Source organism: Homo sapiens, chromosome 11 (assembly GCF_000001405.40).
Source record: "Homo sapiens chromosome 11, GRCh38.p14 Primary Assembly".
NCBI lineage: Eukaryota > Metazoa > Chordata > Mammalia > Primates > Hominidae > Homo > Homo sapiens.
The window spans coordinates 12,522,407-12,535,628 of NC_000011.10; the positions used below are offsets into that span (position 1 = coordinate 12,522,407).

The window sequence follows — 13,222 nt, forward strand, 5'->3', positions numbered from 1 at the left end:
TCAAGAGCTTTATTCTTTTTTTTTTTTTTTTTCTTGAGACGGAGTTTCGCTCTCCAGGCTGGAGTGCAATGGCGTGGTCTCGGCTCACTGGAACCTTCCCCTCCCAGGTTCAAGAGATTCTCCTGCCTCAGCCTCCCAAGTAGCTGGGATTACAGGCTGCCACCACCACACCCAGCTAATTTTTGTATTTTTAGTAGAGACGGGGTTTCACCATGTTGGCCAGGCTGGTCTTGAACTCCTGATCTCAGGTGATCCGCCTGCCTCGGCTTCCCAAAGTGCTGGGATTACAGGCGTGAGCCACCCTGCCCGGCCAAGAAGCTTTATCCTTGAACAATTATAGAATTATAGTTGGATAATTATAGCTATACCTCAGTAAAACTGTTAAAAAAAAAAAAACAGACAGCTCATGTAACAACATAGATGAATCCTGTGAAATACAAAAAGAGGCAACATTTGAAGCTACTGTTCAAGGGCACGTATGTTGATGCTAGGACTGGTAAGAAAAGCAAGGAAGTAATCATAAGTGTCAGCACAGTGGTTATATTTGGGGAATGAGAGAGGGAATGTAGAAGGGGGAGGGGATGCTTCTAGGATACTGACAATGTTCTATTTTTGACGGGCAGGAGTTCATTTTCAAATATTTAAAACAGTACATATATGTTGCATGGGTTTTTTTCTGGATGTATGTCATATTTAAAAAAAATTTTTAATGACTTAAAAGTTTTTAAAAATAAATAAAGCAAATGGCAAACTCACCACCAGATAGGGCAGTAGGTCACCACGAAAAGGAGCATCTGTACAGCATGGATCCTGCCCCGGTGGGGAATAGAGAGCAGGTAGAGATGCGAGACAGGATGAGATAGAGGCGCAGGGAGGTCGGCTGGGGGCTAGAGCATAAGTAACCACCTAGTGGCCACCTAACTGATTCCAGCCCCCACCAGCTGCCAGCCCTGAGCCAGCAGGGGCCTCCCACCTTGGTCAAGGGGTTCAGAGACCGTGGGGGAAGGCTTCGGAGAAGGGCCTTCAGCAGTGCCTTGGGATGAAGGAAACTGTGGTGTCACAAATGGCCACAGAGGGCCTTGTCCCTTTGTGCAAAGACAGTTTCTGCTGGGAAGAGAGTTCCTCTCTTTCCTTTGGCCTCTGCATCCTTTAGAGATTCATGAACTCATTTTCGATGGTCCTCTCCTGATAGAAAGAGTCACTAATACCTCTGGGGGGGAGGAGCAAACAATGAGCCCTTTCCCCTTGGCCAGAAGCTGTTTTATCTCTAGAGCCACCTCTTCCTTGGCCCCAGGCTGTCAGACAGCCTCTGTTCTGGTGTATCTGACCAGAAGCCCCATAGTCCTGGCTGTCTGCCTCCAGAGAGGGGCCCTGGGCCAGCACACAGAGGCTATCAGAACTGAACTGAGTTGCTAATCACACAATTTATGAGAACAGGGCTTTGACGTGGCTCTGTTTATACAGCATGAAGTTACAATATATTCCCAGGAATCCACAGCCCTTCTCCTGGCTGAGATAGTCCAGTCTCCTTTTGGCCTACTAGTCTGCCTGGGACTACCTGGGGGCCCAGGTCTTGGCTTTCTTGATAAGAACAGGTGATAAGTGATAGGCAGTGTCTCTGACTGCTGTCTCCCCTATTCACCCGGCCCATCTGTTGGCGTTAGTGGTGAAGGTGGTGAAGAAGCAACTCAGTTTTCCAAGGAGCAGGGCTTAGTCCACGTGAATGATGCAGGCATTGTGCAGTGCACAGACTGCACGGCTATACATAGCAGCTCTGCTAATGGGCAAAGATGGGAAAACAGAAAGAAAACTACCATTTAGGGGACCCTTAATATATTCTGGGTGTTTTTCATAAAGGTATTGCCCAATTTTACCAGTGAGAAAACTGATTCAGAGAATTTAAGTGACTGCCAGGGTCACACAGCTGTAGTGGAGATGGACTTCAAACTTCTGTGAACATAAAAATGTCACTTAGTAACCATTAAAATGGCCAGTTTAAAACATTCTCCCATATTGGACATTTTCTTTTTCTAGCAACCTCAGAACTCACCCACCTTTCAAAAGGGAAAACAAATCCCCCTGCCTCTATCAGTATCTGTCCTTCACCAGGCCCCCAAATTCCTCCTTTGCGACCCGTGCTCATGCCTCCACTTCTGATCTGCCCGTGCTGTTATTAACATTTTACCTCCACCTGCTCTTGGCCTTGCTCTCTCCCAAGTCACCTGCTGGGCCTATGTTCCCTGGGAACTCTTTTCAGTCCTTAACCTCCTCGCCCTCTTGGGAGCGCGTGGCCCTCTTGTCCACCCTCTCTGGAATTTTTTTCCTTGGCTTCCAAGACGGTGGGCAACCATTCATTCATGGATCTGTTAATATCCTTGGAGGGTCCATGCTCTCTGTGTTCAAGGAACCTACAGTCCAGGACAGAGGCAGATGTTAATCAATAAGCATACAAGTCACTGATTTACACCTGGAGTGAGTACTATGAAGGAAGCATGTGGGAGTTTTGAGAACATAAAACAGGACCCCTGCGCCCAGGCGGGGGTCAGGAAGGCCTCCCTCCAGGAGCCTGTGCTTTGAGCTGAGGTCTGCAGGAGGACCTAGAGCCAGCTATTTGGGAAGAGTGATCTAGATGTTGTAACAGCATAGGCGGAGGCCAAGCATGGCCCATGGGGAGGGTAGTGAAAGGAAGCCACAGTGACTGTGATACATAGTGAGGGAGGCAGTGTGGTACCAAATGAGAGTGGGAAGGTAGGCAGGTCGGGTCAGGTTACGCCTTACAAAGCCACAATTTAGGATTTTGGACCTTCTAAGGGAAATAGTTGTATGGCCATACAAGCTGTGAGCTACACAGCTCCAAGAGGCCCTGTTTACCTTGCAGTCCATGACAGTGGTGCCCTGGAAGTGTGAATGATGTGCCTTGGAGTTGTGCAGTGTACATCCTGCACAGCCATGCCTGGAGGCCTATCATAGTCTGGCTCCAGTAGGTAGAATGGTTTGGAAAGGGTAAGGGGAGCTTATTAGGAGCCTGTTGCAGGAGCTCCAGGCCCACTTTACCTTCCCCTTTACACCCAACTCCCTTGGCAAGCTCACCTTTGCCCCTCTCTGCCTTTCTAGCAGTTCCTCCCTGGAGTAACTTCCTGGTATTTGACTTGAGTAGAATTTAAGAAACACTCAACACCAAGCAGTCAGGGGAGGACAGGAATTGGCCTAGAGGGCATGGGATTCCATCTGGCAGAAGGTGATTCAGGGTGGGACTCCTGGCTCAGCATTAGCAAGGCAAGGTAGCAGGACTCAGCCTCAGGCCAGGGCCCCAGTTAGAGGCTCAGATATGTGATGAAGCACCATGGGAGCAGAAACAGAATCTGGGAGCTCCAGGCCACTCCAGGCCTCTCCATGGGTCTCTGGAAGCCCCTGGTCTATCAGTAGGAGACCTTGGGCCCAGCCAGGGTGGAGCAGGGTTGGTCTATAACCAGGATAAGGCCTGGAGGGAGCAGGCAGGAGGGGCCTTGGGGTGGGGGGAACCTAAGGAGGTTCCCCCAAGCCCTGGGCCCTAGGCCTGGAGCTTGGGGCCTGAGCATGCCAGGCTGTGGCAGTTCCAGTTGCAAGAATCCCAAGGCTAAATACAGAGTGATATAACGGACTTTAGAGACTGAGAATGGCACAGGCAGGAGCGGGCACAGGGATAAAGGAACTAATACATGTTAGGTACAATGTGCAGTACTTGGGTGATGGGCACACTAAAATCTCAGAATTCACTGCTATATAATTCATTCATGTAACAGAAAACCACTGTACCCCAAAAGCTATTGAAATAAAAAATAAAATCTTTTTTTTTAAAAGTCCCAAGGCTAAGACCTGGGAGCCCCTGGCTCCCCACTCTGCCTACTCTTGAAGGATCCCTGTGGGTATTGACCAGAGCATTGCTAGAATCCTGACACCTTCCCCCACCCCTTCTTTCCCAGTGGCTTGGTGTAATTTCTCCCATCTTTGAATCCCAGGGCATTTATTACCTTCTCTTAATCACCTACTTCATCTGACCTCCCATACAGTTGTTTTTTAATCATTTTTATTGTGAAAAATATCACATATACAGAAAGGTGCATGAAACATAAATGTACAGGTTAGTGAACTTTTACCAAGCGAGCCAGCACGCAGCCACCACCCAGGACAAAGAAAAAAGTAATGCCGGCTCCCAAGAGCTCCCTTCAACTTGCCCTGCATCCTTTTTGAACATAACCTCTCCCTTCTCCCTAAAGGTAACCACTATTCTGAGTCCAGTCATCAAGGTTTTGCCTTGTTTTTGCTTTTCTTTATAATTTTATTACCTAAGTATGCATTCCTCAATAGTAGACGGAGTTCCATTTTTTTGTTTGTTTTCTCTTCTCCCACTCTTCAAAGGTTGGCTTTCTAGGAGAGTGACAGCAGAGGGACAAGAGCAGAGAGGGGGTCTTGTTGGGGGAGGGAGGAAGGTAGAGGAGCCAGCAGAGGGTTAGAGGAACAGCCAGAGAAGGTGGTGACCAGTAAATAGATGGATGAAGGGAGGAAGGGCTAAGCACAGTGTGTCAGTGAGTCATAGCTAGCCTGCCAGCTGCCAGTTTCCAGCCTCTAGCCTACAAAATCATGCAAGCTCTGTAACTTGGAATTCAAGGCCTTTCGGGATCCAGCCCCATACACCCCAACCTCTCTAGCCATGCTGGCCTATTGGGAATTCTCCAGCATAGCTGGGTTTAGTAAGATACACTAAACTTTCCACATGGAATTCTTTGCCCACTTCTGTACCTGGAAAGCTCCTATTGCAAAGGAAGGAAGGCAAAGAGGGAGGATGGGAAGATCCGGGGGCACGGAAGAAGGGAGGAATAGAGGGAGGGAAGGAGGATGGGAGGATCAGAGGAAAGGAGGGAGGGAGGGAGGAAGTGAGCGAGAGAGGGAATGGTAGCATAGAAGCTGAGGAACCTCCAGCTGAAGTTTTAGCACCTCAAACCCTTCTGCCATGCTGTATTCTTAATCGGAACCTGTCTGTCCCCCATGACGCCTATTTCCTGAGTACTCCTTGCAAGTCCCCCTTCTCTGCTAGGCAAGCTTCTGTGAGGCAGCTTGAGTCCTAATGCACCCCCTGGTCTTCCACTGCAGCCCCAGGCCTTCCCCTCCTTTTCACCACCCATGGTTGGTTCTATGATGGAGGTTGGAGGCAGTGGGCAAAGAGCCCCTGGGACAGGTGGGGATTGTGGGGAGGGTCAGGCCTTCTTATCTGGAGATGCTGTGCCCCAGCACCTCTACCCTCACTGCCCCCTGCTCTGAATTCTCGCTGCCCACTCTACCCATCTGCCCCGAACATGCTGGGTACATGGGATTGGGTGGTGGGTGGAAGGGAGGGGCAGTGTATGCCAGCTTTGGAACATGTGGCCCCATGGAAACAATTGGTGTTTTTTGTTTTCTACGCAGACATAGTCAACTGTGACCTGAAATCTACACTACGAGTGTTGTACAACCTCTTCACCAAGTACCGTAACGTGGAGTGAGGGGCTGCCCTGGGCCCACCACTGCCCAAGAGTTCTTGCTGTTGGCGTACTGGACCCTCCTCCGAACTGCCTTACCCTGCTTATTCCTGTCTCTTGCACTGTGCTCTCCCACAAGTCCAGCTGCAACCCAGAGATAGTGGAAACTGAAATTAGGAAGGAAATCATCAATAACTCAGTGGGCTGACCCATCCCTCCCAGGCGCTGGGGACCAACCTAGCAATGAAGGTTGGGAAGGTTGTTCCCTTCCCGGTGCCAGGTCCAGATTTCCCTCCATGATTTGGGAACCAGCTTAGGCAAAAGAGTCCCCACAAGATGAAAATAAAGATCCTAGTTACCATTCAAAGGATGCTAACTGTGTGTCAGGCCCCACACTAAGTGCTCTGCTCTGATATACTCAAGGCCATTAATCTTCAGGACTCCCATTGACGTAGGTGTTTCATTCCCCTTTTACAGATGAGGAAACTAAGGCTTGGAGGTTAAATGACTTGCCAGAAGTTGGAATTTTTTTCCTCTTTGAACATAACCTCTCCCTTCTCCCTAAAGGTAACCACTATTCTGAGTCCAATCATCAAGGTTTTGCTTTTCTTTTTAGCTAAGTATGCATTCCTCAATAGTAGACAGTACAACATGTTTATAACAAGCCAATTACATTATGTTCTTTGCATGTTCTAAAGTTGTGTATGTGTGTGCACATCTGAGCACGTGCACATGTACACCTGAGCCAAAAACACGAGAACCCACTGATCTCACCACTGGGGCAAGCTAGGTCAGAGCTTAGTGATTCACACTGAAATTGGCAAATTGGATTTAACCCAATTAATAGTGTGTGTGTGGCAGGAGTCATGTCCCTCACATCCTTTGTACAAATGAAAATTACTCTTAATTCCTTCAGATTTATAATAACTCTGTACTTTGGTTTCAGGGTGACATTTGGGAAGGATTTTGTTTAGAATTAATGGAGTGGCACATTTTGCAGCCTTTTTGCTTGATTGCATGTAATGGAAATGCCCTATATTTTCCTGCAAAATAAGTACTAAATTCATTATCGTTAAGCAAATGTACAATATGCTCAGGCACCGCAGAGAGCTGGGCACGGGCCCATGTGAGCATCACTTTGGAAGTAGGGCTCTTCAACAGGGACCCTTGAACTTTAAAGAAAGGAACTTCTTTTTGCCTTCTAATTGATCATTTAGACTATTCTGGCTAAGTCTGCCCACATGTAATTACCGGCTAATTCAAGCGAGGAAAAATGTAAGTCATTTAGACCAAAGCCAAGCAGTTTCTTTGCGTGGGTTACTCAAGGGCTTGTGGTTACTTGTATCTCCTCTATGTGAACTTGACTTTGAAAGACAGAGCTCTAGTGTGCCAGCCTGCTAAGTCCTGTAAGAATAGGGAAGGGCGGAGGGGGGTGGGCAGTGACTAGGGGACGAGAAGCATGGGGAAAATATTTGCACTCTAAACATACAGAGATAGAGGTGGGGCTTGTGGTACTTAACACTTGTAGCCATCAACTGACTGAGACCTTGGGCTAAATAATCAATTGTGCTGATATTACATCTCGTTATGGAATGTTCCTAAATATGCCAGGTAGACACCAGCCCAAGTACCCTCCTCCAGAAGTCTGTGACTACCTTGTCACTACTTTAGGCCCATTCCACAAAGCCCATCTCTGGTTTGAGAATTCATTTTGATCTGTATCTACACCACCCAAAGTTAGGCCTCCTATAATGTCCAAAACATTCCTTTCAGCCTTTTTATTTCTTACTGTACTGTCTCTTACTGTACTGTCTATCTGCAGTAATTGAGGACCCATAAAATTTAGATAACTACATGTCTTTGCTCTTAGAATTGTCACTCAGCATAATGAGCATTTAACATACAAAGGCAATGTACTGTTTTGTGTTGATCTATGTAAAAGAATACAATTCTTTTTTACATAATTAGTGAAATTTTATTTTTTATTAGGAAACACTAAATAGTGTAATATTTCTTTTGCTTTTAAAAAAATTCCTGGTAGCAAATCAAGATAAATAATTGCTTCATTTTCTTGAGCAATACTGAAGCAGGATGAAGTAAGAGGAATGCATTCATTTAAACATGCTTTGCTTTATGAATTTTGTCTCTTTTTTGGTCTCTTTTTCTTATATTCAAGTTACAAATGTACAAGTATCCTTACTAAGAGTGCTCCTTTTGTATTTTACATATATACAGTATGAAAATACATTGGAACACTAGGAAAGTTTTTAAATAACAGTTCTAATTTATCAGAAAATTGTGTTTTGGGATTGAGTTCTTTGTCTCAGCCCAGAATCCCAGGTCCTGGGCCTGGTTTTCTAATGCTGTCATCTCAGTTCGATATTTTACTTTAGAACCTGGAATCTCCTACTTAATATATGACCATGACTTTGAAAGGCAAAAGAGGAATCAAGAATAAATAAAACAAACTTAATCTTCATCTTTAAAAAAAAGAAAAAAGAAACCAAAATGAGAATCAACACTTCATAGGCTCACTGGGTTTTCTTTTCTTTTCTGTTAATTTAAACTCAGTTATTTTTAATGCTTAATACATACATGGTGCAAAATTTAAAAAGCGCAAATAGGTATCTAGTGGAAAACCTAAGCCTCCCTCTCTCCTCCGGCACCCATTACCTCTCCCTGGAGGCAACTGTTTTGATCCATTTCTTACACACACTGCCAGAGATACTCTAGGCATGTAAAGCACAAACATACATATAAAATCTGCGGGCTTCAAAAAATATAAGTAGGATGTCATCTATACTGTCATACACTTTGTTTTTTATCACTTAATGTTATATCTTGGATATTGTATTACCCTGGGTATTAAAAAGAACTCCTTTCACATTTTAAAATAACAATCTGAGCACTTCATAAATCCAAATGCGTATCTCCAGTCTGCTCGAGCTAGGAAAGGAAAAAAGCCCTAGCCGAAGGAGGAAAGGCTGCCTAGACAATGATTTCAAAAGTAGAGTCTAAAACCTATGGGGTGCAGGACCAGAGGCTGGGGCACATTATCAGAGGCATCCTCATGTGCCTCGAACCGAATGTTTTTAAGTCCTCTTTTGGAACCTTATGGTGAATTGTATGCAGATTGATGAAGGTTTCATTTTTATATATTACCAGGACTACGAATTTGTAATCCACTAAGCATCACAAAGGTTACTACATACGCTATAATACTGTACTATAAAGTCTAGCTGCCAGCAATGCAGTGCTCGCCTGCTATATTAGAAGGCTCCAGTTTCACATGTGCAGGCACAGAGATGACATTTCCCGATCTGGGAGAAGGCTTCTTTATCAGCACATCATCAGTGTTGCCTCGAGTTGGTTGCAATTTTCAATTGCTGCTATTGGTGCTTTTTAATTATGAATTACTGTTAGCTTGCATTATCATCAGTTTGTTTTGTTGTGGGTTGCTTGGTTAACCCTACAGAGTATACTTGAAGCTTATTTGCATCAACAGTATTCTGGAGCTGTAATTTTTCAATAACTAGACTCTGAGACATGTATACATTGTGGTTCAAATAGGAATCATCCATAGTCCAGTGCTAGAACAAATGTATACATAATCCACTCCCCACAAATTATCACTCATTTATTTTTCCACTGGAAAATAAGACTAGATGGAGTCGGTAGGTGAAACAGTTTTGCCGTGCCTAAGTGGAGGCTGATCAAAACTAATTTGAGATCCGCTGCCTTTAATAGAGCTCCACCTCAGGAATCTTACCTTTATAATACATCCTAGATAGGCAAGAGGGATATGTCCTGAAATCTTCACTAATTCCAAGATTGCGTGTCATTTCCCCCAAAAATTTGCTTAACTCTATTGGAAAATCCAAGAGAATTGCTGCAGCTGCTGAAAACAAGAGAGCTGCATTAAGCTGCAAGGCCGGGTAGGGTAGGTAGACTGACTCACCACCTATGGGACCTGCCTCCACACATCAGCTTCCCAAATACTTGCAGATTTGGGTCTTACCAAAAGAAAAGTCAGTATGAGTTACTCACAATCCTAACTACAAAGGCTACATTTACAAATACCAGAGTTTCGACTGTGTTTTTACTCTCTGCTCCCTGAAAACTGTAACCCCAGGCTAGCTCCAAACTCTGCTTATAGCCCATGCTTTACTACAGTGGTGGTCGCATATGTGAACGTGTGCATGCGTGTTCACGTGTTCATGACAACAGCAATGCAGCCATGAGGGTGCTGCCCCCAAACCAAGCCTGATGACCTTGAGAACCTCAGGCTTCCCAGTAGGATCCTGCAAGAAAGCATCTCTTAAAAATAAATTCTACAGGATATTAGTAAATGTTAGATGAAAAAAAAAGTCACGTTTAAATATGTTTAGGAAACATGAGGTGAAGAAAGTTAGCTTACTGACGCTTTTTGTTTTCTAGTTGGAGCGCACCTCAGAGTCCCCTACATAATGCGTATTAGGACTTTCTAAGGGAAGACGGGGTACGATGGGTCCCAATCTTGTTTGATCACAGGATGTATCTGTCCCCTGAGAAATTTCTAGGATGAGTACTCTGAACTCAGGACTTCATTTAGTCATATATTCGGCAAGTATGTGTTGAGTGCAGCATGTCCAAGGGTGAGTGAGAGATTATAGCTAGCAGGGGAGACAGATGAAAAATAACTATGAATCGACGTTAGTTACAAATTGTGACTGTCGCGATGGAGAAGTACTAAAATCTATGAAAGAGTTCTAATGTAGATTTAAGGTCATGAGAAGTCTCCGGCAAAGTGGCATTTTAAAGTAATCCCTCAGTCGTGGAGCTACTCCAATGAGAAGCCTGCCACTCCAGGGCGCACCACGGAGGAGGATCCCCAGACAAGAAGACCTGGCTCCCCAGAGGAGTGCGGAAAGCCAGCATGGCTAGAGGACACAGAATGAGGGAGAAGACGGATCCGATCGCAGGCATCGGGAGTGCTGATTTTTCTCCTTTGAAAAACAGGTTGCCATCTACCTTTTTAAATGTCCCACTGTGTAGGAAAACTCTGGGGAAAGCTACGTCAGCAATATGGAGTCTGGGGTTGCCTTTCTCATGTCATACCATGGTCCTGGCTGGGGAGCGGAGGAGACCAGGAGAGGAGATCAGACCTCTGCCCACCCCAACACCAATCTGGTCTTAGCAACCTCTGGGCATCCCATAGCTCCTCCTAACCTGCTGCTGCTGATGGACAGGAACTCCTGGACTACCCCCAGCCTCTCCACAATGTGTCCTGAGAAGAGCTAGGGGAACTGGACAGAGTGGACGAGGCTGCATGTGTGGAGGGAATGAAATAAGGGGCCTACCAGGCCAGAACGCTGATCCATGGAGACCAGTGCTTCCAGCCCTCTCACCTCGGAGGAGGACTCCTGTTTTACCAACGGCAGGAGCAGGAATCCCACCATTCAGCCTGTGGGCTTGACAAACTATAAGCAAGCCTCCTGGATGTGGAATAATACATTTTCAAAATTCATACTAATCAGCATGAACTATAACTGCTCCAATGCCCACCACATTATATAAAATCTACCAAAAGGGGGTCACTTAATGTTTCACAATGTTTGGTGAAACAACTTTCATATGAAAGTACGGTTGATCCTTGAATGATATGGGCACCGACCCCTGAGCAGCTGAAAATTTGCATGTAACTTGACTCCCCCAAAACGTAACTATAATACTAATAGCCTTACTGAACACGGTCAATTAACACATAGCTAGTATGTTATGTGCATTATATACTATATCCTTACCATACGGTAAGCTAGAGAAAAAATGTTACTAAGAAAAACATAAGCAAGAGAAAATATATTTACTATTAAGTGAAAGCAGGTCATCATAAAGTCCTCATCCTCATGGTCATCACATTGAGTAGGCGGAGGAGGAGGAGGAGGAGGAGGAGTAGGGGTTGGTCTTGCTGTCTGAGGGGTGGCAGAGGCAGAAAAAAAATCCATGGGCCGAGCACGGTGGCTCACACCTGTAATCCCAGCACTTTGGGAGGCCGAGACGGACAGATCACAAGGTCAGGAGATTGAGACTATCCTGGCTAATATGGTGAAACCCCGTCTGTACTAAAAATACAAAAAATTAGCCAGGTGTGGTGGTGCGTGCCTGTAATCCCAGCTACTCAGGGGGCTGAGGCAGAAGTATTGCTTGAACCCAGGAGGCAGAGGTTGCAATGAGCTGAGATCGCATCACTGCACTCAAGCCTGGGCAACAGAGCAAGACTGCGTCTCAAAAAAACAAAACAAAACAAAACAAAAATCCATGAACAAGTGGACCTGCCCAGTTCAAATCATTGTTGTTCAAGGGTCAATTGTATATTATTTTCACTGGAAGTTTTGAAATTCCAGAAATATGCTTGGAAATCCCCGCTTGAAATCTCCTTGGTTGGAAACCAGTCCAGTGGGTGACTGGCCCAGAATGATGCTTCTCCTCGGTGGACCCCCTGGGCTGAGCAGCCTGTGTTCCTGCCTCAACTCCCCTGAACCCTCCTGAACTTTCTACACACATGTGGGCACTGGCTTTGATACTGGCATTTGGAAGGGCACTTGGGAAATTCAGAGAAGTACCCATTATTAAGATAAATGATGTTTTATCAATGAAGCAGACTTTTCATTTCTTTTTATTGATCTTCATGTTTTCACATCTTGAGATGCAATTTGTTAGCACAGGCTGTCATTCCAAGACACACAAATGTCATTAAGGCAACCGCTTAAAGGAGTGTGATATTTTATTGAGGTAGACAGGACAATAGATAAATATTTAATCTGTTACATGTTTGCTCTGTGTGGAGCCAGGGTTGGGGCTGCACAACTCTCTGGCTGCTATGTGTCTTCCTGGAAACCCTGTCAAAGGCCTTACCGCCTGCCTGGAGAAACACAGTGCCTGCCCTTGGCAAATATATGTTGGTGTATCTGAAAAACAGCTCCTGGAAGCTTTTTCTCATTCAGGCTTTAGGGGTTACCCCATCTTTCCTTATGTGTGTAATATTGGAGAATGTACACTCTCACTGAACTGGGGATGTTTGACTTAAAATGATGGACAATAAGATAGTGAGCAGTAAGTGTGCTCTAGGCTAGGCTACGAGAGGCCATGAGCTCCTCATCTCTTCTCTGTTCTGAGCTCTCTGATCCACTGCACTTGGGGCAGGGGGTGCATTCTCTGTGCCTCTCCTGAGTCTACTTTCTGCATCATTGGTTCTCCCAGCTCACTTCCATAATGTCCTCCTAGGCTGCATTGGAATTGTGTGTTGTCTAGACCCATGGCCAAGACTGTCATTGCCTGTGAGGGAGACCAAGCTCACCACCAAGGGCTTTTGCCAGATTGCTTTCATTTACAGAATTTGCCCATTCATGTGTCTTTGTGTTTATGGATTAAATGGCTTTCTGACCAGCATCCCTTTGGTGTGCTTTGTCAATAAGATACAGAGCTTTCTCTCCCATTCTTTTCATGTGATTCCAATTCCCACATGGCAGCACAGACCCGCCCTAACACTGATGAAGTGGAACTCCAAACACCATGGGACAAGAATTCTTGTCACTGCCCTGGGCTGGACCCCAAACCTCTCACAATCAGAATGCAGTCAAGTCAGCGAATATTTGTGGAATGTCTGTTCTGTCTTCAACCCCACTCTCTGCACAAAATGGGTTGGGAAAGTCTCCGCACAAAATGGGTTGGGAAAGTCCAGGGTCTCT

The 13,222-nt window shown here is 45.5% G+C and overlaps 1 protein-coding gene across 2 annotated transcripts in view; it reads left to right on the top strand.

The window, feature by feature from the left end:
* PARVA (parvin alpha) overlaps positions 1-12,950 on the top strand; it is a 158,921-nt gene extending 145,971 nt beyond the window's left edge. For both annotated transcript variants that reach the window (XM_005253015.4, NM_018222.5), the window contains exon 13: positions 5,443-12,950. In XM_005253015.4, coding sequence (XP_005253072.1) covers positions 5,443-5,519 — 77 coding nt within the window. In that variant the 3' untranslated portion in view covers positions 5,520-12,950. The remainder of the gene's footprint in view (positions 1-5,442) is intronic.
* The last annotated feature ends 272 nt before the right edge of the window (positions 12,951-13,222 follow it).